The 20,216-nt window shown below is 42.8% G+C and overlaps 1 protein-coding gene across 3 annotated transcripts in view, besides 1 other annotated feature; it reads left to right on the top strand.

Moving 5' to 3' along the window:
* Positions 1 to 20,216, top strand: part of OPCML (opioid binding protein/cell adhesion molecule like) — a 1,117,521-nt gene that overhangs the window by 132,660 nt on the left and 964,645 nt on the right. The window lies entirely within an intron of this gene.
* Positions 13,271 to 13,471: a silencer, noted in NCBI's record as "peak1519 fragment used in MPRA reporter construct". NCBI's record gives its function as "represses an SCP1 promoter by STARR-seq MPRAs in K562 erythroleukemia cells {active_cell/tissue: K562}" and the evidence as "EXISTENCE:reporter gene assay evidence [ECO:0000049][PMID:32103011]".

The raw sequence follows: 20,216 nt of genomic DNA, 5'->3' as shown, positions 1-20,216 counted from the left end.
TCTGTTAAATTTAGGAAAACTGGATTAAAGGGAAGACACATCTAGAAATGACATGCTGCTTAAGGAAGTAGAAATCTGGTAGCATGAGGCTGTGTCTGGGAATGCTCTGCATGGGTTATTTTGGGAACTGCTGTTCTCTTGAGAAATTAAATTTGTAGGGAGAATAGGACTAATGGCCATTTGTATCCAGCTGCTTGCATCCTTTCTTCAGCCAGAGGAGTGGATAGAGGGGGTATGTGTGTTTGTGTTGTTCGCTGAATGCCCACTGTCCTGAGGATTCACAGACAGGCTGTGCCATGGCAATGAGGTTGGTCTGCAACTGCACTGTGAGAGGGTGGCAGGAAAAGGCACTGATGATGGTGATGAGGAGGCTGGCGGCTGGCATTCATCAAGAGCTTGCTGTAGATCCAGCACTGTGTTAGACATGTTAGCTGTTTTTTTGCCATCCAGTGATTAAGTTCACTGATGCTTAAAGAGGTTAAGCAAACTGCCCAAGGTCATACACTTAGTAAAGAGCAGTGCTGAGCTCAAACCCAGGCCCATCTTATTCCTAAGCCCAAAAGCCACCACGCGTCATCAATAGAGATGGCAGGCCTGAGCTAGTCCCTGCCAAAAAAATTCACAAGTTAAAAATAGAGGATATTTTTCCTTTTGTCCTTTTTTCCTTTATATCATAGTTACTTTCCTGATTCTTTCTTTGCTGGGGGAGGGGGAATTTAAAAAATCATACCTAACATTTATTTCAGATAAGAAAGGGAAGCAAGTAACAAATAATTATGTGATGAATACCAAGATTCCCAATTTTGTGTTAAGAACTATTTCAACAGTTGTAGTACCAGGTATATCCCTGTCCCCAGGGATCTGGCATGTTTTTGTTTTGTTTTGTTTCTGCAGATATCTTGCAGAATGGATGTAAATCTATGTTCTTTGGGATTTTTAGAACAGTGATTCCCAACTCACATGAGAGAAATAGGGCTAATAGAAAATTAGGTTTGGTGAGGCATGGGACCCTGGCCGGGAGATGAAAAAGCATTGGTTGGTGTTTGCATTTTTTGTTATTGGAATTGGGTGAAGGAGGCCTGGTTGAGAAATATTAGGGGAGGACTTGAGTTTCTTACCCTTCATGGTCCCTATAGACTTAAGAATGCAATAACAAAGATATTTAGGTCATTTTAAACTTATTTTGAAAATTGCATATTTCTTGTTTGCATCTCTTTAGATTTTTTTTTTTAAAAAAAGATATTTGTAGTCTTATCCTTCGCCTTGAATAGAGAGAAGGAATTTATGGAGGTGCAATATTAGCGAAAAGTCTTTACATTTTCTCCTGGAGGAACAGAGAAGACGCATCTCATTCATTCAGCAAATATTAACTGGGTCCCTGCTGTGAGCCAGACTTTTGTAGTAGGCCCAGAGTATAAAGAAGACAGATATCCTGACTGCCTGGGAGGAGTGTACAGTGTAGTGATGCCTTGAGAGATGGCTCTGTCCTGAGCAGACAGGAAATGGCTACGCTGGGACATAACAAAGGAGCTGATTTCCAAAAGGACCACATTGGGCAGTCCCAGGACAGCTGAGAGACTCCATCAAAGCTGAAGATCAGAGACGAGGCTTGAAAACATCACTGAAATAAATCTTAATTGCCATGAGGGAGGTCTGAATTTTGTGGTGGCCAATATAATTCATGAGATGTCTATGTTTGCAAGGTTCGATCCCCCAGGTCAGCAGGTGAGCCTCCCTTTGTTCCAGTGGCAGCTGATGGGGTGTCTCCTTGCAGACAGGTTTCTGCTGGAGCTTGCCCTTGGCGACAAGAGGGACTAGGTGAGAGCATAGGTTTGGATAAACTTAAATCCATCATTGTCACTAGAAAACATTTCAGAAAACATGCCATATTAATGATGGGTAAATGGCATCATCTTCTGTGAAGAAATGCCTTCACCAAATCAGGATTTAATGTAATGCCTCTACCTTTTCAAAGGATCAATATGAGACCTGGCAATTGAACAGCATTTCTGTATCCTTTATAAAAATGGGGTTGAAGGTATTTTTCTACTATATGACTCAAAGCCCTTTTTATAAATTCTGTCAATTGCAACCCCACACTATCTCTCACAGTAAGTTTCTGCTTAAGTTTGGTTCCAAGGAAAATGCTGTCTCGGCTGATGAATTTGTGTGCTTTCTGTTTTCAGAGAACAAATGGCATAAGCCAATGTCCTTTCCATTTGCCTTAGCTGGCACTAACTCAGATCCAAATGCATCGCCCAAATGTTATCTGCTCAACTCAGGTACCTGGGACATTCCCTCTCTCTGCTTTCTCCAGGTGATCTCTGCTTTGACTTATGCTTAAAGACTTTACAAAGCAGGACTATCTGAAGTCCGCTCAGTACATAAGCTACAAATACAACAGGGATGATTTTTTCCTGTACATCTATCTGTTCGTCTCTCTATCCAATGTAATAAAGTGAAACAAATCCTTCTCGGATGATTGAAGTATAGAGTGGCATCTTATTGGTGCTTGAGAATAAAAAATTATGGATAAATGAAACATTTTTGAGTACCAGTGACTCTATATCCCTAGGTATTGAAGGGAAACATAGAAAAAGGAAGAGACATAGACCATTCTCTTGGAAGATCCAGCCCAACTGGGGAAGACTGCCTACATTTTTATCCCCTCTCCACTCACATTCACTTGGAAATGACCCATAAATATTAACCAGCTGTTTGAAAATAAGCACAAGTAATTGCAACTCTTCAGTTGCCAGGAAAATCATCCAGAATCAATGCTTTTCTCAAAAAATAGACATGGAGTGCTACTATGTGCACGTTGTTGAGGAGTGATGAACATGGGTCACACTCATTTTCTGCCTTCAAGACCTGGTAGTCTGAATAGGGGCCAAACCAATCCTACATATTTCTATACTACAGCTGAAAGTAAATGCCTCAGTAGAAGTAGGAATAAATATTTGATAGTGGCCCAGAAGGGTAAGGGATCACTTTTTGGATGGGAAATCAGAAAAGGTTTTATAAAGGAGGTGATATTGGGCAGAGGGGCAATCTAGGTTGAGCACACAAAGATACAAAGAAGAGAAAATGGTGGGTGTGCTCAAGGATGGTGAATGTGCCATTTGTCTTGTATGTAGTTTACATGCAAAAGAGCAGAGAAAGATAAGTGAAAGTTAAGCCAGTATTATCACCGCATCCCTTGAAAGGCTTGCACTACTTAATGTTGTAATCAAAGGAGGACTATTAAAGGTTTTTGAGCAGAAGAGTGATCACTAGACTAGTGATTCAGAAAAACTGAGTTGAGCCTTGGGGTAAATAATCCTAAGAGATTGAGAGCCTGTGTAAACATGATAATAGCAAAGTGGACAAATCGTGTCCCTTAGCCAGGATTTGCTCATAGGAATGTGGAAAAATAAGAGTGAGTGACAGGAAGTCCTAGCTAGAGCAATTAGACAAGAGAAAAAAAATAAAGGGCATTCAAATTGGAAAGGAAAAAGTCAAATTGATCTTGTCTTATATTTGGTAAAAGCTAAAGACTCTGCCAAAAAACTATTAGAACTAATAAGTAAATTTACAAATAATTTATTTGTATAAATAATTTATTTGCAGGATACAAAATCAGTATCCCCAAATCAGTAGCATTTCTCTATGCCAACAATGAACAATCTGAAAAAGAAAAAAAAAAGTAATCCTATTTATAGTAGCCACAAATAAAATTAAATACCTAGGAATTAACCAAAGAAGTGAAAGCTCTCTACTATGAAAAGTATAAAAGCTGGCGAAAGACATTGAAAAGGACACACAGAAAATGGAAGCATATTCCATGTTCATAGGCTGGAAGAATCAATATTGTTAAAATGTCCTTACTACCTGAAGCAATCTATAGATTCAATGCAATCTCTATCAACATACCAACGACGTTCTCCACAGAAATAGCAAAAACAATCCTAAAATTTATATGGAACCACAAAAGACCCAGAATAGCCAAAGCTATCTTGAGCAAAAGGAACAAAACTGGAGGGATCACACACCTAACTTCAAATTGTACTACAGAGCTATAGTCACTGAAACAATGTGGTACTGGCACAAAAACAGATACATAGACCAATGGAACAGAATAAAGAACCCAGAAACAGATTCATCTACCTACAATGAACTCATTTTTGACAAAGGTGACAAGAATATACATTGGGGAAAAGATAGTCTCTTCAATAAATTGTACTGGGAAAACTGGATATCCATATGCAGAAGAGTGAAACTATCTCTTGCCATATACAAGAATCAAAATAGATTAAAGACTTAAATCTAAGACCTCAAACTATGAAACCACTACAGGAAAACATTAGGGAAACTTTCCAGGACATTGGACTGGGCAAAGATTTCTTCAGTAATACCCCACAAGTACAGGCAACCAAAGCAAAAATGGACAAATGGGATCACATGAAGTTAAAAAGTTTCTGCAAAGCAAAACAACAACAACAGCAACAGCAAAACAAAAGCAATCAAAAAAAGTAGAGATAACTCACAGGACGGGAGAAAATATTTGCAAACTACTCTCTGACAAGGGATTAGTAACCCAGTATATAAGGAGCTCAAACAACTCTATAGGAAAAATTCTAATAATCTGATTAAAAAGTGAGCAAAAGATCTGCATAGACATTTCTCAAAAGAAGACATACAAATGGCAAACAGGCATATGAAAAGGTGCTCAACCTTAATGATCATCAGAGAAATGCAAATCAAAACTACAATGATATATCATCTCACCCCAGTTAAAATGGCTTTTACACAATAGTCAGGCAATAACAAATGCTGGCAGGATGTGGAAAAAAGGGAACCCTTGTACACTGTCAGTGGGAATGTAAATTAGTACAACCACTGTGGAGAACAGTTTGGAAGTTCCTCAGAAAACTAAAAGTAGAGCTACCATGTGATCTAGCAATCCCATTTATGGGTATATACTCCAAAGAAAGGAAATCGGTACATCAAAGAGATGTCTGCACTCTCATGTTTGTTGCAGCACTGTTCACAATAGTCAAGATTTGGAAGCAACCTAAGTGTCCATCAACAGATGAATGAAGAAAATGTAGTACATATACACAATGAAGCTGTCATTTGCAATAGCATGGATGGAACTGGAGGTCATTATATTAAGTGGAACAAGCCAGGCGCAGAAAGACAGACTTCTCATGTTCTCATTTATTTGTAGGATAAAAATTAAAACAATTGAACTAATGGAGCGGAGAGCAGAAGGATGGTTACTATAGCATGGGAAGGGTAGTGGGGAGATGGAAGGGAAGTGGGGATGTTTAGTTGTTACAAAATAGTTGGAAAGAATGAATAAGACCTATTATTTGACAGTACAACAAGGTGACTATAGTCAAAAATAATTTAATTATACATTTTCAAATAACCAAAAGAGTATAATTGGATTATTTGTAACACAAAGGATAAATGCTTGAGGGAATGGATACTTCATTTACCCTGATGTGATAATTATACATTGCCTGTACCAAAATATCTCATGTAACCCATACATATATACCCCTACTACAGTAAAAGTTAAAAATTAAAAATTAAAAAAAGAATGAGAGACGCTGATGTGGGAGAGTATTTTTGTTAACATAATTTGGCAACTATAATATGTTGGCTCTGAGTTTATGAGCCTGCGAGACCAGAAGCCCAGTGATGCCATCTGAGGCATGATGTGGGGTGGACCAGGAACAGGGTGTGTTAAGAAGGATTAAGCATGGGGCAGAGGAAAGTCAACAGGACATGTTGCATATGAGGGGCTGGTGAGTTGTACTAAGATGGGGGTACAGTGGAGGGCACACTAAAGTGTAGGAAAGGTGGGGGAATGGTGAAGAGAGGACTTCCTACTCCTCAGGCCTGGGCCACTTGGATAGGAGTAAAGTGGAAGAGAGGGGATTGCTTCTTAAGCAGGTGATCCAAGTCCTTCAAGACTCCTGAGCCAGGTGTCAGGCAAGAGGACTTGCCAAAGCTGTAGTCATTGGAATCTTCTGTATTATCCAGCACAGGAGAAAATCTTCTAGAACCTGGGTTGTTCTTGGGATTAGCCAGTTATGTTCAGAAGTAAAAATACCCTGAAGATGATGAAGGAAATTGGAGAAACAGCTTTCATGAGACTGCCTGCCCCTTCTCCTGGATGAGGGATACTGGAGACAGCCATCACAGCAGCTAGGATCCACGGAGCTTCTCACCCACTGGGTGCCAAGTGCCATGCTACACACTTTATCTCTGGACAGTTACAAATTGATGAGGTAGATACTGTGGTCAACATCATTCTATAAAGGAGAGTAATGAGGCTTACATGGATGCCTCAAGGCCATACAGCTACCAAAGATGGTAAGCTGTAGCCAGGCATTCTCTGGGGTGAAAGCCGACAGTACAGTTGATTCTCATAATCTGTGGTCTATAAGGTCACCTCAAACACCAAGTTAGTGAACACTGAAGCATTGTTCCTAAGGCAAATACACAGTTAGGTTCCTGTGAGCTTCTGATCACAACATTTTTGTCTACCAATCAATACATAACCTTGTTTTATGTGTATTTCCATTTAAAGACACCTCATTTAATATATGTTGTTGATTGATTAAATTGAACTCACACGCAGTGGCACTGTAACTTGTGCCTGAATGTAGCTTCTCTAACACACATGTTTTCTCCATAAGGCACATCACACCCTTCTTGTGCTTTTGAACACTAGAGAGGACTTAGATCTATATGTAGGGGCTGTTTTAAACCGTGAAATCATCCACAAAAATGCAAAAAAAAAAAAGTCACTAAACAGACAGTGAGAAGGAAGTGTTTATAATATAAGAGCTGAAACAAGAAGGCAGGGCATTGCCACCTTCAACCTCACTGGGACAATGAGATTGGGATGACTCAAATTTTTCACCAGTCTGCACATATCCTTGAATTACCTCTAAGGTGACATACCATGAATATTGGTTTTGGGGTTACAAATAAATTTTGGTGAGCAGGCAAATTCATAGACACAGAATTTGTGAAAAATAAGAATCAACTGTACTTCAGGAGCCATGGGCACATTTTGCAATGTATGGACTGCTAAGAGAAACCTGTAACGAATGATACATCTTACTTCCTCTTGGTTTTCTCCCCTTAATCTTGGAGTCAGTCTTTCCTGACTTCCCAGTTTAAAGGGCAACTCCTTGGAGCTAAGTCACAAGCCTCAGAATGAGCTGCAGAACAAGTGCACACAGCCCTCAGCAGAAGCATCAGGCTGGGGCTCAGGTCCCCCTGAAGCACACGTGTGGAGGACAGGTGACCCCATGTGCCAGAGGACCAGTCACCTCCGACAGGATCCAGCCTTCTTCTTAGGATTCTGGCCCTTTTTCACCCTTTCCTAGCCTCTCCTTTGGGCTTAATGCAGTGAGGGTTAGAACAGTTTTCTTAGTGCCAAGATTCTTGCTAATACGGCAGTTTGTGATTTTTGGCATGTTGCAAGATATGGCAGATTAAGGTGAAGTTTCCAGGATCAGAAAGATGCAAGTTCATTAGTGGCTCGGATGCTTCTCTCACTGTGTGATCTTATATAAATACCTTAACCTAGTCAATCCTCAGATTCCTTAGCTGTAAAATGAGGGTCATACTTATATTTACTTCTTAGAATTATTGTGAAGATTAAATTCGTTAATTCATGTTAAGTGCCTAGTACAGTGCCTGCCATATGGTAAACACTCAGTAAGCATTAACTTTAACAATTTTATATCTTAATATTTAATTAGTTTGCATATCACATGCATATTACAATTATATGTAATTTGAAAAAAATAGTCTTTAATTTTTTTTCCTATATACATCAGTGATTGATTATGGACTTTGGCACTGGGTTATCTTAATTCTGCTCTTAGCTTCTTTTTCTATCTGGGTAACTTTGGGCAAATTACTGAATTTTGAATTACTGAATTACTGAACTTTGAATCTTAGCTTCTTAATCTGGTAATGAGAGAAAAATAAAGCCTAACTCTCAGATTGATTGGAATGTTAAATGGGATAATGCACTTAACGGAGCTTTAGCGCTAGGTCTGACACGTGATAAGCATTGATAAGTTCTTGCTGTTATTGTAATTTTTAATATTATTAATAATCATATGGTAACATTGCTTTTCTGAGAGTGCCTTGTAATGCATTCTGTAGCTTCTAGGCTTATTTTTCTGACCTTCATTAACAAACTTTCTTTCAACAAAGTGCATGCTTGGAACGCGTCCTGCTTTTTGATGGAGGGATATGGTGGCTCAGCAGAGCGCTCAGCGGATGAGAGCTAAGACTCAGCAGCTAAAGGATGGTTGGAACTGGGGGTTGGGGAGCTCTGCTGAATAAAGGCTTTTTGCTTCCTAATACTTCCACTTCTAATGTTTCTGGAGCTCATGGAGGACAGCTACTGACAAAAACCTGTGTTTATATATCATCGGTCTGCACGGGTTAGTAAGATGCCCAGAGCTGCTGAAAGACAAACCACAATGACAGGAGTCCCCAAAGGGACAGGCGGCCCTCCCCATGGGCTTGGAGGAGCAATGCCAGTAGGTCATTCTGCAGCTAGAAATGTGTCTTCAAGGGCACATCTCACTAGGAGGGATGGTTTATCTCTGCTGCCTGTCCATGGATGCTCAGCAGGGCCACGTGTATGCCGTGTCTTCGCATTAAACCATCCATTGCAACATCGTCGACATTCATTCCGCAGCTTGACCTTTCTTTCCCTTTCTCTCTCGCAAACTTCTTCTTCCGCTGAGTCGTGCAGGTGGGTAAATCTTCCTCTGCTGCATCCGCATGCTGGGGAAATTGGCTACCTCTGCTAAGTGTGATTGGAGCCGTTTGTTTTTAAGCTGCACATAAGCATCGGGCAAGATTTATAACACCTTCCTTCTTGCCGAATCGACCCACTGGGAGCCATTGAAGTTTTATTGCTCCTTGCAGTTGCCTGGCCAGAGTGGAATGGAGGGGCCTATAGTTGGAAAAGCTTTTTCTTCCATTGACTTACTCACAGGAAGTACTGGAGAGAAGGAATAGAAGTGATGCTTCTTTTGTTCAGTCTCCTCATTTTGATCCCAACCCTTTTCCAAACTGCATTGAGTTGTTAGAGTGACTTCCTCCATATAATTCACATTGCATGCTAAGCCTTCCCACTGTACCAAGACCTCCCTAAGGCCCCACCTCTTCCAGGAAGTCTTCTTGGGTTGATCAAATTAAGACTGTTTCCCTGGTACTCCCCTTACCTCTCTTGGCTGGACCCCAAGACCTTTCTCATTTCAGTGGTCTTTGTCCCAGATTTTGACACCTATTTTTCTTCAGACTTGCAGCTACCTTTTTTGTTGTTGTCGTTGTTGTTGTTTTTGTTGAGATGGAGTCTTGTTCTGTCACCCGGGCTGGAGTGCAGTGGCGCGATCTCGGCTCGCTGCAAGCTCCACCTCCCGGGTTCACGCCATTTTCCTGCCTCAGCCTCCCGAGTAGCTGGGACTACAGGCGCCCGCCACCACACCCGGCTAATTTTTTTTTTGTATTTTTAGTAGAGACGGGGTTTCAGCGTATTAGCCAGGATGGTCTCGATCTCCTGACCTCGTGATCCGTCCGCCTCGGCCTCCCAAAAGTGCCGGGATTACAGGCGTGAGCCACCGCGTTCGGCCTGTAGCTACCTCTTAACGTTAGGTAAACGTACAGATGTTCCAGTCATAAATTATAAAGTTCTAGAATCCTAAATCTGGGAGAAGTATTAGAAATTCTCAATGTAAGCAGTGACTTACATTATCCACGTTCACATAGTGATTGAGGTATTTTTATGACTGTCTTAAAGGAGGAGTCTTCACAGGAGATGCTCTCATGCCAGATTTTAAAACAGAAACATGCTCCAGGGATGGCCTCAGCTTTCTTTCATGGGGGCTTTAGCTGAAATAGGTAGACATAGGTTGGTTTCCCTTGGAAAAAGACATCCTTCTTCATTGTCAATTAGTAGTAGTTATTATTGTATATTTACCCATGTGCTATGCACCATGAAAGTCCCTGAGACAACAGAGAGATGGGCCCTGCATCTATGTATGGAGCCTGAAGTCTAGCACAGAAGACCATTTCAAAGAATGTCCCCTGAACAGTATCTGGAATGAGAAGATGGACTGGCTTTGTGATTGTTTATTCAACTTGAGGTCCAAGCCTCAAGCAAAATCTATCTTCAGTGCAATAAGATACAAAGTATAGTAATAATAATAGTAATAACAATGACAATAATAATAATTACCACCTGTGAACATCTATTTTATTCAAGTACTGCACTAAATACATAGATTATTTCATTTTTATTTTAATAAAAATCTCACACGATAGGTTTTTAGTTGCATGTTTTCTATAAGGAAACAAGAGCTCAAAGAGGATGCCTTAACCGGCGAGGTCATCCAATCAGCAAGTGGCTGAGTCAGCCTGAAAGCCACACTAAGGCCCTACAGGTAGGACTGTGTATTCTCCCTCCTGTTTCTCTGCAAACTTGTCAGCCTTGAGAAGGTTTCAACAATCATCTATCTCTCAGTGTAATTCTGAGTTGCTGTTTCGTCTTGCATACATATTTGCATTTTAAGAACGAAAGATTTAGATGGGTTACAAGATTTTATGATCAGGTGTAGACATTTTGGCAGGCATGGACATCTTGTATGAGGTCACCCCCTAAAGGGCCTCCTTAGTAAGCTGTTGTCTCTAACACACTCTGGCTTTACTGGGGATTGTTGGTAAGATTACAAAGTGGTTGAGAGCCAAGTACTGAGGTTAGAGCTTGAGGGCTCAATTCTTGCCTCTGACACTCAAAATTAGCTGAGTGACTTTAACCTGTGTGCCTCAGTTTCCTCATCTGCAACATGGGGATGGGAAAGAACCTCATATATATGCTTAATATGAGGGCCAAATGAAAACCAATACATCTGAAACACTAATGACCATGGCTTGCACACATCTTCAAGAAAATTTAATTTGTAATATCTTTTTTCAAGTATCCAAAGTCATTCACACATACCATCACATTCAGCCTCATAACCTGGGTTAAAAGCTATCCTTATATGATAACTCAATTAAGGTGATATTCTCAGTCAGAGAGTAAGAATGACACATGTTCTGGGGCAATGGAATTCACTGAAATGAACCCATGCAGAGCAGAGCATTTCAGACAACTCATTATACTCTCTCTAGAAGAAACCTACCTCCTGGTTCCTATAGTTGCAGTACGTTCAACATTCCTGGCTGAACACCCTTTTTGACGTTGAGATTAAGCTGAAGTGTTACACCTGGTTATGACACCCATACCCTTGAGAGAAGTGCTTGCTTTTCTTGGTCACCCAATTGTCCCCATACTGTTCCCACAAAGTAAGTCATCCAGAGCTCTTGTAGATTGCCATAGGCCCTCCTTCCCCTGACACATCCCAAAGGTTAGAAACAAGAGTAGAGGCCCAGCTCATTCCTCAAGGGTCCATTCACTTTTACATTTTCCAGGTTTACTTATGAGACCAAAATGAAGCAAGTGGGAGACATTCAAAGTACCCAATAGTTACACCATGTGTGTCTCTGTGTGCTTACCAAACCCAGCTCTTTTTAGCCATTGTTAGCATATCATGATTATAGTTATTAATATGATAATGATGGTTATTATTATTAGACATTTTCTATGGGCCAGCCATGGTCCTAGGCAGGTGGCTTCATGGTGCGGAGTCTGGCAGCGGCCCTCTAAGGGAGGAACATCTGCTTTAGAGCTTCCCTTAAGACTCCGAATAAAACCCATGGGCAGACTCAAGGGCCCCATACGATCTGCCCCTCCAAAGCTCTCTAACCTCACTCACCCACTCTAACATGGTGCTGGTTCCTGCCTAAGTGTCTTTGCACTTGGTATCCCTCTCCCTGGAAAAGGTTCTGACTGTCAAATGTTGTACCTCCTTAAGAGATTCAGTTCTCTGCCGAAGTAACCTTGAGAGGCAGGTCTGCCCCTCCATATGTTCTGAATTAATCCCTCCTCTGCATCTTTAGTTTTATTCACAACATCTATCACTGTGTCTTCTCTTGTCAGGTGTTTGTTTTGTAGTCTGACTTCTTCAGTCGAATCGCAAGCCATGTGGACAGAGATTTTGCCTGTTTTATTCATCCTGCATTTTTATCTAAAGAAATGCTTGGAATACAGCGATCACTGAATACATATTTATTGAAAAATACAAACACTGAGTGAAGGAATTAATAAATTAAGCAGATGGTTTAGAGGAGTGAATTAACTTCTCAAGTTTACACAACCGGTGAGTTTGTCAGGTAACTTCTCATAGAAGAACTCTGGTAGCAAGGGATGCAGCTTTGCCTGTTGGGGCACTGAAAGGCTGTCTAATCTTAGGTGAAAGCAGTCAGGTCCAGGGAGATCTTTGTGTGCACAGAAGTACTCAAGAAGTCAGGACCAGAATGCAGGCCATGTAACACCCCGCCGGTGGCTGCTTCCTCCTTTTCCTTAAGGACCTTTTGTGAAGTGGCCAAATAAATACTGGTCCTGTCATGTCAAGTGATGTCTTGCCTCTTCCTTGTGGCTGGACCACTTACCGGTTAATTGGTGGTTCTTGGGCAGAGGAGAGTACAAAATGTGAGATAGGCATCCCCCAAGCAGGGCCACATTAAGCCCTGAGCCTGGATCCTGCCTCATATTTAAGTCAAAAATAGTCCTTTGTTAGGAATAGTCTCCAAGTTCCTGGCCATGTGTTTGAGGAACATTTGTACAGGCTATGATACAGAGAGCCCAGGCTGAGGGCCAAAATACCGGAGTTGGGGGCAGCTGTCTCCCTGACTGACCTATACAATGTGCTGTCATCGTCCTTAGTGCCTGTTTTCTCATTTGAGATGGAGGGTGGGCAGGACCCTCTGCAGCCTCCAAGCATTCACTCAGCCCTCACAGATACCCTGAGCATTCTGTCTGCCCTCACGGACACCCCTAAGTGTCACCGTGCTCTGTCCCTGCTGCCGTGTGGGGCTGGACTGCCAGTTTTCGCTCCCAGTGGCCCCAGTGTGGAGTGAAGCATGGCCCTTCTGTGAAGGGACCAGGAAAGACAAAAAGGAAAGGTGGGGTGCGTACTAACAGGTCATTATTTAGATGTGATTTGCTTAGCGCTTTTCCTGACCTAGTGAATTAAAAGAGGACATCGCAGAGGGAAAACAAACAGGGAGACTTAAAGTAATGCTTTTTGAACCTGCCAATTATCAAGAGAGTGTAATTATGGGAAACACCCAAGAGGTCCAGAGGGACCCATGTCTTTGTTCTCAGACTGCAGAGACCCACTAAGATAAGAGAGTAGGAGGGGAGCGCTTGTGAGACAGAAAAAGGAAGTGCCGTTGTTGGGAGCTGGGAGCTGGCCAGTATGTCTTCTAATTTAATTACTTATCTTTCCCTCAAATTGTTTATGGTACACTAGGCTATTAAATGCGCCATAAGCAAACGGCTCTTGAAAGAGGAAGTGGATTTATTTGTTTTAGTTACCACTCCAACAAAAGTCTATTTCTTCTGCTAATTAAGATTCCATTCACTAATTTAAATGTTATGCTAATTAAAGTATAATTCTGAAAATGTAAAAAGGAGTTAAAAATAAAAAGAAAGAAAAAACTGGGTTGGCCTTTAGGAATTACATTAAATTTATTGCGTTGTAACAATGGTAAGCTGGGTAATTATTTCATTCGCCTCCGTGCTGCATTCAAGCTTCTGCTTATTCATCCCATTCTCACACTTCAGCTCATTAACACACACTTCCCCTCTCCCGCTCTAATGGGAGTTTTCTTGTGATGGTTTAAGATGAGTTGTGAGTTAGATCCTTGAAGCAATGTTTAGAATTTCTTCAGCTGGGCCACACAGAGTGTTGCAAGCTGCTGCTTGATTTGATGTTTAGAGAGAAAAAAAGAGAAAACATCTGGATTTCTGCTTTGTAAACCAATTTCTGGAGCCAACTTGCTGTTACTCCAGCTTCTTCTCCATCCTCTCTAGAAGCCTGAGTATTTTATAGAAGACAGAGATTATAATATGTTACAAGAAAGAGGATGAGTCTTCTTGCCAAGTTAGAATCTGGCATTTTGAGCATCTGGGATAAGACAAAGGGAAACCAGGACCATGGGGACCACCGCAGACATTCATTACCAGGGCCTAATCATCGAAGTTTCAGCTTCCTCATCAGTCAGATGGCATTGTCTTGAGTATTAGAGGCACCTGAGCTTTGAAAACAGCTAGGCTGGAGACTGGAACAGCGTGGCAACCTAAGTGTTCCCGTCCTCCCCACCCCTAATTTTGTGGTTGCAGCACCAGGCTGGAAAATGGGGCCCTGGAGTGTTTTTCTCGGCTTGAGCTCTTGTCTGCCGGACGACCAAGCCTTTGCCTTCTATACAGGCAAAACGCAGAGCCACATACATTAGTTATTCCTTGCTGTAGAACAAATTATCCCAAACTCAGTGAACTCAAACAGCAAACACTTACTATCTCACAGTTTCTGTGGGTCGGGAATCTGAGAGGGTCTTCGCTGAGTGTTTTCGGGTCAGAGTCTCTCAGGAGACCCAGCAGTCACAGTGCCAGCAGGGATTGCAGCCATCTGAGGATCCAAACCTGCTCCCAGGCCATCAGCCACAGCTCCAGCCCTCAGCACACGGCCCCTCCACAGCGCAGCAGCTTCCCCAGAGCCAGTGCTGCAACGGATAGAGTGTGGCATCACTGCCTCTTAGGACAAGCCTCTGAGCCCCCCACCCTCCCTTCTGCATTATTCTATCCATTACAGGTCACTAGGTCCTGCCCACAGCCACAAGGAGGGGTTCCACAAGGGTGTGGCACCCAGAGGCGGAGACCTCGGGGCCACCCTGGGATCTGGCCGGCCTCTGTGTTGGCCTCCCCTCCAACGCAGTGCTTTGCTTTGTCTCACTGTCTTCTGATCAAAGCCTGAACCTCTGGCCTTCCTGCAGCTACCACTCATGTCCAGCCATCTGCCTATCATCCAGCCTAGGCATTCTGGGACAGATCCAGGAGGTCACATGTCCACTTCTGAGGGGCTTTGGCGAGGGCTATGGCAAGAGCGGGTGGACTGAGAAGTCCCCTCCTGAAAGACATGTCTCTATTGAGGCTGGTCTCCAGCCAGGCTCTCAGCCTGTCAGTGGCAGGATGCTTTGGAGAGGCATTTAGAATGAGGCACAGAAGGCACTGGGATTTTCTTTGGGGACAAGCGACAAGAGCTAGGATTGATAGACTGAGATGATAATAAAAATGAATTAACTTGCATCTCAATTTGATTTTCAGAGCCAGAGAGAAGGAGTAAATCAGCACCATGGAGCTGACTTTCTCATCTGGTTGGGTTGGCCCTTTATTTTTATTAGGGTCTTTCTTGTCAACGGTTGAATGAGATGTTAATACTATCAACCTTAGGCCACAGTCTAAGCTAAGTCTTGACAGTTCTTGCTTTTCCTCTGACCTGTAGCTTGGAAGGGAGAGGTTGACACCAGGCCAGAGTGGAGGGTGGGAGGTGATAAATCAGTCCTGGGTTTCTTTTTTTCTTTTTCTTTTCTTTTCTTTTCTTTTTTTTTTTTTTTTTTGCACAGTGGCCTTTGGCTTTGGCAGCTGCATTAATCTGGGTGGCCGTTGGGAAAATTAGGTCAAAGGTGTCCCCAGAAATTGGATACATTGTTGCTAATTCAGTCATATAGCTGGAGTGGGCTGGCATTTCCAGAGGCAGACAACACAGGCGTATGTATCTGTTTTTACCACTGAAGAGACTGAGGATTGGCCAGGTGGGTGCAATGGTGACTTCTCAAACAGATCAGCAGGATGGAAGTGACACTCTCCTGGGGCACTGCCGGGATGTCCCTCTGTGCGTAGGGAGAGGAGTCCGTGTACCTTGGTGACAAGCCTGCACCCTTCTCTTATCTCCCTGCACTGTAGCATGAAGCATATTGGCCCTGGGCATGCACTGCAGGTGTAGACATCCTGTCTGTTCACTGGCCTATGAACTATGAGACTAGAAACATTACACAGTCTCAGGAACAGACGGTCCCCTTCTGTTTATTTATAGCTTAACACTAAATAGCTGATTCCAATCTTATTAAGGTTTACTGATCTCCTATTAAAAACCTCAAATGATGTTTATTTGTCTGATGCTTGCTCCCAAAGAAATGCCCCAGAGATTTCTCTGAAGACGCACGTTATTCATGCTTGACATGACCTCAGGATGTTGTTTATGGATATGTTCTGTGAGCAAATATTTACTGAATTTCAATAATAGGATGGGCACTGTGTATGATACAGAGAAGTATGTGGCAGTCCCAAAAACAAGTAAAATCAAATTCCTTACAGTAAGAGGGGAGTTCGTGTCTCATGTGGGAGAGCAGCAGATTACAGATCGGATGACCCGATTCCCGTCTTCACTCAGACACTCACCAGCTGTATGGCCTTGGGCAAGTTACCCAACCTTTCATAATCAGGACAACGATGTGATCAGATTCCTGTCGTAGAAAGAGCACCATACGGCAGTTCCAGCAAGGGATTGATAGGAAGGAACTGGAATAATGGGGATCGAGGAATGAGCTCTCACAGGGCTCTGGATGGGGGTCTCTGGAGTCTGAGCTGTGGGCAGGACAATGGCCTGGAGAGGAGGTATGGATCCAAGAGGCAGCATTGATGAGGCGTGAGACCTGTTTGGATAGGCAGGAAAGGGAGGGAGGGGTAGAGATAGCTCAGGTGTGTCGCCAGGGTGACCAGGAGGATGTTGGTGTTATTAACTAAGGTGGGAGACCTTGGGGAAAAAAAGGTGGCCAAGAGAGGAAATGTAGCTCCTTTTTGGCTGAGTTGTATTAAGAACTCCTCCTCCACATGTCTGTGCCATTACTCTGTGACCTGGGCCCTGTGCTCCAAATTCAAGGAGGTCACCTAGAGTAGCTGAGGATCAGAAAAGCTATCTAGGAGCTAACACATGTGGCAGTTTTAAAAACTCCTTTCATAAGCAGTGAAATAAATCTGGAGAGATGCCCTCCTCTCCCCTCAGAGGCCTCTCCTTTGTCGGGCTGGGTGGAGTGGGGTGACAGAACATCGATCGGTGGGAGATAGATGGGAGGAAAAGCCCTCGTTGCCTGCTGAATCAATGTTCCCTTAAAGACTGCAACAAACAGGATTAAAGGTTGAAAGACATTTATTGAGGGGTGAATCTGGGTGTGTGTTTTATTAGTCAGCCCGGCACTGGGTTTATAGAAATGCCCAGCCTAGACGCTGCCAAGAGCAATAAATCGGGGCTTTCTTCTTTGGCCGGCTGCCTGGGCAGTGATGTGGGGGTGTGTGACCCCAGGCCAGGAGGATGGAAGAGAGTGTTGTCTTCAGGCCATCTGGGGTAGGGTGGGGACTCAGGGATGGGGAACGAGAGGAAGATGATTGGCCAATGCCCCTCCTGGCCTCCTTCTCCAATCGCTCACGAATGAGGTCAAACATGCTTACTGCATGGATACATGCCTCCAGTCTCTTTCAGAATTCCCCACCCCTCCTGCCAAAATCATTTGCCTAACCTTTTGCCTGACTGATTCAGAAGCTATTAAATGCACGGCATCCACACAGCTGGCCATTAATTGGAGGCCAGAGCTTGATTAATGAGCATTATGCTAATGTTGGGTCAGGGGGCAGATTATGTGTAAAAGACCAAAACAGTAAGTCAAGTCAAAAGCAATAACACCACCTTCCATCCCTCCGCCTCCCCAAACAAGTTGGCAGCTGGAGGCAAATGGAGAAAAGGCATATTGATGAGACAGCCTGCAAGAGCCTGGCACTTGCCTTGGTTCTTTCTGCAGAGAACTGGGCTGAGATGCTCCGGCCTCCCTCCCAGGAGGAGCTGCAACCAGCTGGAAGGTGGGCTCCCATGCCAGGCTGGCCTCAGAGGGACAGGAGCAGCTGAGGGTTGAGGGAGTGATACTTCCCAGACTACAGTGTCTTTTTTAAAGACCCTAGAACTTACGCTAACAAATGGTAAAAGTGCCCTGCTATGAATGTGTCCACATAAAGTGTTCATGTCCAAACATTAAAATGAACTTGGAAGAACAAATCCTGACTCAGCCACCCTGGAATCATAGATCCTTTGGCAGGTAGGACATTGCCCATTTCTGACTCGTTACGCTCACTGAGGTCTCCCTCTGGTCACTCCTTCTGTCTCTACATCAGACCCCCAATCCCCTGAAGTTCTTTCTCCCATCCTCTTTTCATCACACTCCACACTTTCTCCAGGGGTGTGAGTGTGTGTCTTTCCGTGATGTCAGTTATCAGAACTGTCCCTCAAGCTACACATCCAGGCATAGCCTTTCTCTGAGCTCCAGGTCTCCACCATGGGCATGACCAACTCACACTGCCCTGTATAAGTTCTATCATATCCCAAACACACTCTGCTCCAAGCTGAATTTTTCTTTCTACGTTGTATTTGTTACTGACACACATTTATTTGATCCCGTGCTACAGAAACATACTTTTCAATCTTGGTTTGTCCCATCTCATTTCTTGCACTGCTGAGGGCATTTTTCCCTGCTGTTTCCCTCTTCTCAGTGTCCCTGCCAGTTTCCTCTGCCACTTACTGAGGTGAGGCTCCTACCCTCTCTTTTGCATCACTGCAAAGTCTTCCAGTGCCTACCTCCTTATCCAACTAAGGGGCCCATGTCACCTGAGCTGTCCAATTTCTAAGCCACTCCTAGGCAAGACAGCTCTTCATGCGGAGCCTGTCAGGCTTCCCTGCTGCCAGGCTGCCTCAGAACACATTCCTTACCTCCACACTCTGGGTGTAGCACACATTTAACCCTATTTCCTGCGCTTCGCCCTGTCCTTGCCTTCCCTCCATGCACAAGGCTAATTGTTTTATCTGGAAGAGACAGCTTAGGTCCGTACCTCCCTGTCCTTATTCTTGGTGTTGTCTTGGTGTGAATTAGCAGGGCCTCAGGTTTCTGTCATCACTCCTGTCCTGGAAATGATTTTATAGATGATTCAAACATTTACTTAACAATATAGAAAGCACACCTACAAGATCAGGAATAGCAAGAACCAGGGGAGACACTAAATATATGAATGATGAAATCACAATAAAAAACGAAACTGGCAGGCTGGGAACTGGATGTAATAATGTTACATTTCTCTAGAATAAATGTGAGGTATTATTTTTGATTAAAAAATATTTAAAGAGATATGGGATAGAAGAGGTATGGTTTAGCTAAGATATCAATTAAAAAATTGTACTGATGGCATCATTTAAGATAATGCAATATGTAGTTACCAAAAACGTAAACAGAATTTTAGGCCATATTGACATAATCTACAATCCATGGGAAGAGTTTTCAAGTATTCCTCGTTAGGTATATTACTTGGAAATATATTGCATTCAAAGTACCGTACTTAATGGAGAAATAGACAAAAGAGCATGCTTAGTGAAGATCAGTTAGGAAAATTTTTTTAAATGTGAATTATTGAAGAAATTATTTTCCCCAGTACTCCTTTCAAAACTAAAATTCTGTGATTGCCTTTTATTTGTCCTGCTCTGAGGCCTTTTGAAATTGTCTTTATTCTTTTGGGTCTAAATAAAATTTCACCTCTTTAAACCCTTCCAGATACCCTTTATCTGAATTCACCGCATCCTCTCTGATGATACCATTTCATTTTGCTTGAACCCCTGCTTGTATTCTGGCCAGTCATTTATATTTTCATCCTCTGCCAGCAGATCGTAAGCAACATCAGGGCAAGAACCATGTTGTACTCATCTTTGTATTTCAGAACTTAGCAGAGTTCCTGGTACCTGGGGCATGATTTGTAAATGTTGAGGAAACGCAGATGCATAGACAAAATTGTCCTTAAAATTCATGCTACCAAACTGAATTCTACCTGTGAGCTGAAGGTTTTAAGTGGAGGCTGATCTCAAACTACAAATACATATTCCAGAAAGAGTTCTATGGTCAGTTAAGCTGGGGAGGTGTTGGGTTAAACAAAGTTAAGCTGGCTTTTTTACTACAGGAATATTTGGAGCCTTTAATGTTATTGTACACTGTGGATCTTCCAACAATAGCCATTATACGCAGGATCTAGCAAAATCATTTGACCATAGAACATGGCTTTTATGCAATACCATTTCACATTTCATGGAACATAGCTTGCAAAATACTGAACTTAGCCTAACTTTAGAGAAACGGCACAGAGCCTTTTCAAGAAA

This window comes from Homo sapiens, chromosome 11 (genome assembly GCF_000001405.40).
Source record: "Homo sapiens chromosome 11, GRCh38.p14 Primary Assembly".
NCBI lineage: Eukaryota > Metazoa > Chordata > Mammalia > Primates > Hominidae > Homo > Homo sapiens.
Note: the sequence above shows the minus strand (reverse complement) of the source record. Positions and strands in the feature narration are given on the sequence as shown.